This window comes from Homo sapiens, chromosome 2 (assembly GCF_000001405.40).
Source record: "Homo sapiens chromosome 2, GRCh38.p14 Primary Assembly".
NCBI lineage: Eukaryota > Metazoa > Chordata > Mammalia > Primates > Hominidae > Homo > Homo sapiens.
In genome coordinates, this window is record NC_000002.12 from 7,700,719 (window position 1) to 7,704,658 (window position 3,940).

General features: G+C 41.9%; 1 annotated feature.

Annotated features, from left to right (window-relative positions):
* Positions 2,244–2,835: an enhancer, noted in NCBI's record as "OCT4-NANOG-H3K4me1 hESC enhancer chr2:7843093-7843684 (GRCh37/hg19 assembly coordinates)". NCBI's record gives its function as "activates a minimal SCP1, AML or CMV promoter by ChIP-STARR-seq in naive H9 embryonic stem cells {active_cell/tissue: H9 hESC(naive)}" and the evidence as "EXISTENCE:reporter gene assay evidence [ECO:0000049][PMID:30033119]".

The window sequence follows — 3,940 nt, forward strand, 5'->3', positions numbered from 1 at the left end:
ATCCCAGCACCATTTATTGAATAGGGATTCCTTTTCCCATTGCTTGTTTTCATCAACTTTGTCAAAGATCAGATGGTTGTAGTTGTATGGCTTTATTTCTGGGCTCTCTATTCTGTTCCACTGGGCCATGTGTCTGTTTTTGTATCAGAACCATGCTGCTTTGGTTACTGTAGCCTTATAGTATAGTTTGAGGTCAGGTAATGTGATGCTTCAGCTTTGTTCTTTTTGCTTAGGATTGCTTTGGCCACTAGCCACATTTCAATACTCTATAACCTGCGGCCAGAGGCTGCCATACTGAATAGCACAGATACAGAACTTTCCCATTATCATAGAAAGTTCTATTGAACAGTGCTGCTCCAAATGCTTAGGTCACCTTAAAAATCACTGTATTGACACTTGGAATTACAAAGTTTTAAAACATAAAAGATCTTGGAAAGCATGGAGTCTAACACTTCATTTTATATAAGAGAAAAAAGAAAAACTTTTCTAATAGGTGAGGTTGCCACCAAAAGATGCCATAGAAAAACCATCATGCCATGCTGTGTATTTGTGTCCTGTAAGTAGAGCATGTTTCATCCCAGCTTTGGTTTCTAAAGTCCTTAGGACACAGGACCTGTTTTTCATTTGTGCATCCTGAAGATTGAACACCCTGCCGAGCACATGGTGGAGATCCAGGGAATGTTTGTTGATTGGCTTGAGAATGTTATCAAATAGAGCATTGTGACCTTATTTATAATTCATTTATCCCAGTAATAGCATTTACAGAAAATGAGACAGCATCAAAGTAAAGTATTTAGCAAACAATCTGTTACTTATTCAGTCATTGCCAGGCTAGGCCTAGTTTCCAGAGCAGATATGGGTGGACTGTGAACAGGTACCCTATATCTTCTCTGTGGTACCTGACCATGAATAGGTTCCTGTATCGGCTCTGAGCATGTACCGGGTGTGTCCATTTAAACTAAAAATAAAATTTTAAGCTCCTCACTGACTGAACAGACCCTCTCTTGGTAAAGGGGACTCCATAAAAACCTTAAAAAAAACCCGAATTCCCAGCCATGATGGGAAAAAGTCAGATGTGCCTTGTTATATCCCCCCTCCCTTTTGGAGTTCAGGCACACTGGCCAGCATCAATGTTAAAATAGAGACTCTACAACTGACAAAACAGATTCTTTGTGGCAATAAAATACCAAATTATAAAGAAAACCTAAGGCTATTTCAGACAAGGATTAAGTCACGCTTGCAGGCCATCAGTCCTGCTACATAACATCCTTAGGTTAACTTATAGCATTCCTTTCTGCTGACTCTGTTTTAGATAGAGCCTCACTTCTTTAACCAAGTGCAAATTAAAGAATCTCTGAATCAACCTATAACATGGAAGCACTTTGACTCTCCAAGATATTCTGCCATTTTTGCCAAACCCAGGTATACCTTCCAGGCATTGATTTCTGTCCTTGCCTGTAGCTCCTGCCTTCCTGAAATGTATAAAACCAAATTGTTATCTGACTGCCTTGGGACCACTTACTCAAAACTTCTTGGGTTTGTGTTTTCCCCAGGCTGCAGTCACTCGTATTGGCTCAGAATAATCCTCTTTAAAATATTTTACAGAGTTTGGTTTTTCTGTTACATTCACCTTGGCAAGTGTTAGGGTGGCTTTCCCAGCCAAGGAGGAGTTCATTCTAATGGACAAGACACGCGTTCAAAGGCATCAGCTAGAGCAGTGGAATTCTAGGCCAGGAGTTGGCAGTGGAATTCCAAGGAATCTATCAAAGCAAACTACATGGCAAGGTCACACTTAGAAGCTGAGGTCAGCAGAGGTGTCCCTCCTCTGCTGACCTCAGAAAGCTGAGAGTTTTCAGGAACAAAATTCCAGTCTCTAGATCAAGAACTTACCAGAGGGAGGCAGGACCATGGCCCAGGCAGAAACTATGATCTAGCAAAAAAAAAAAAAAAAGTCAGAAGAAAGCCCATTTTCAAAACTGTTTTAGCAGATCATTATTCATTTTGAAGAACTCGCTTGACTTAATAAATATGAATTTGCAGCTGCTTCGTCTCTATCCCCACCTCCCTGCCTCAGCTCAGGGCAGGGCAGAGCACGGGGGAGGCCAGGAGACAGGACTGGCAGAGAACAAGGGATGGTGAGAGGGTTGGGGCCTCACTGCAGGGTGCTCCAGCCAGCGCCAAGGTGGGGATCTAGGTGTGGGGCACCCCAGAGTACCCAGTGGGTGCCAGGCTTTGTAGACAACTTTAGATTTTTCCCCTGAAGTTTTCATAATTTAAGTCTATAAAACAAACTGATAATAGAGTAACAGAAAAAAAAGCATACAAATATATTATGTGCACATATGAACACTGGAGTTATAAAAAAAAATATGAAACTCAAAGAAAGGGCAGAATGATTACAGAAAGACTAGTGTCTTGGAATGAACAAGACCAGTCATGGCAGGAAGAGAAGAGGAAACACCTGGGGCAAAGGTGGTCTTGTTATGCAAATGAAACCTCACAGGTAGCTGCTCTCAGAACCACAGGTAGCAGCCTGTGGTTGAGTTAATTTTTCCTAGGTCCAGACCAAGGGAGAAAGCCTGGCTGTTTATTTCACCAAGGCAGATCAGATGCAAATCTCCTCCACAAAAGGCAGCTTTGCAGGGCTGTTCTTGTTTGCAGGCCCACTGAAAAGTCATCTCAAAATGTGTCAAAGAAGTGTATTTGGGGTGAAATATTTTTGGTTTCCTTTACCTTGTGTGTTTATGGCATAAGCAAATAAGACCACCAGAAAAAAAAATTATACAAAATTTTATTTTAAAAAGACATTGAAGTAATCAGCATAGAAAAAAAGCAGGGATGTGTGTGAGTTCCTGTCATTGCTGTTAATGATTCTATTTTGAGGAGGGTCACCTTACTACTGTCAGTACTCAGCCGTTGCGGCATGTGATCTGGTTTTGGGTGGATGGAGGCCATGCCATAACAGCCAGGAGGACGGTGAGCACAGAACCAAACCAACTACCTCTAACTTCTAGTCACAAAGAAATCAGGATAGAGCTCTGACCACAGGGCTGGGTTCTGCTGCACAGCATGTGGGATCCCCTGATGCAGGCGTTCCTAAAGAATAGCAGCCATTCCAGAAATTACATCCCCCTCTGGCCTCCTGGCCCCTCTCTATTTAAAGCAAGCAGCAGCTAAATGTTTAAATTGAGCTTTAAAGCCATTTCCTCAAAGAGTTAACACAATATAAACCATCATAAAAGGAAAAAAGGACCCATTTATACTCAAATTACACAGGAGTAGCTTGTCTCCATCTAGGCTCAAGAGTATTTGCTCTTAAAAGCTATTTTTTCCCCAGAAACAATAGTGCAGGTGCATCGCACTTCAGTGTGCAACATATTCATCCTGGGAGGCAGGAAGGTGATTTCACACCTGTCTCCTCTTTTTATTCACTCCTGGCCTGGCTAATTTGCCCAATGTCAAGATTGGTATGGCCAAGTCTGTCGAGGAGAATTACTGCTTTGCAGCACGATGTCCTCACTCTGGGCATTTGGACTGTGTGATTTGCCGCATGTCTATTCTGAGTACATCTTTCTGTTTTTCATCATCCATAAATGGAACCGATTGGTAATAATAATCCAGAAGAGATTCTGTTTGTAGTGAAATATCGGAAAGAGAGAGAGAAGGAGAAAAGACAGTTTTAACTGGCATATGGTATGCATTGCTAAAGGGGAAAGGAAAGAAGAGCGACATTACTCTGTGCTTTGATTGGCTAAAGGTGAGTTACTGGAGAAGACGTCTGATCTTCACTTCTTACGTCTCAAAAATAGACTGCTAACCACTCGAATATGTCTGCAGAAGAAAGAGGAGAAAGAAGATGAAAAGAAAATTACAAGTACAAGTAAAGAAAATGCCTGTACTTCACTGTGCCTCCTGAATCAGGGAGGGAGGACTTTCCACA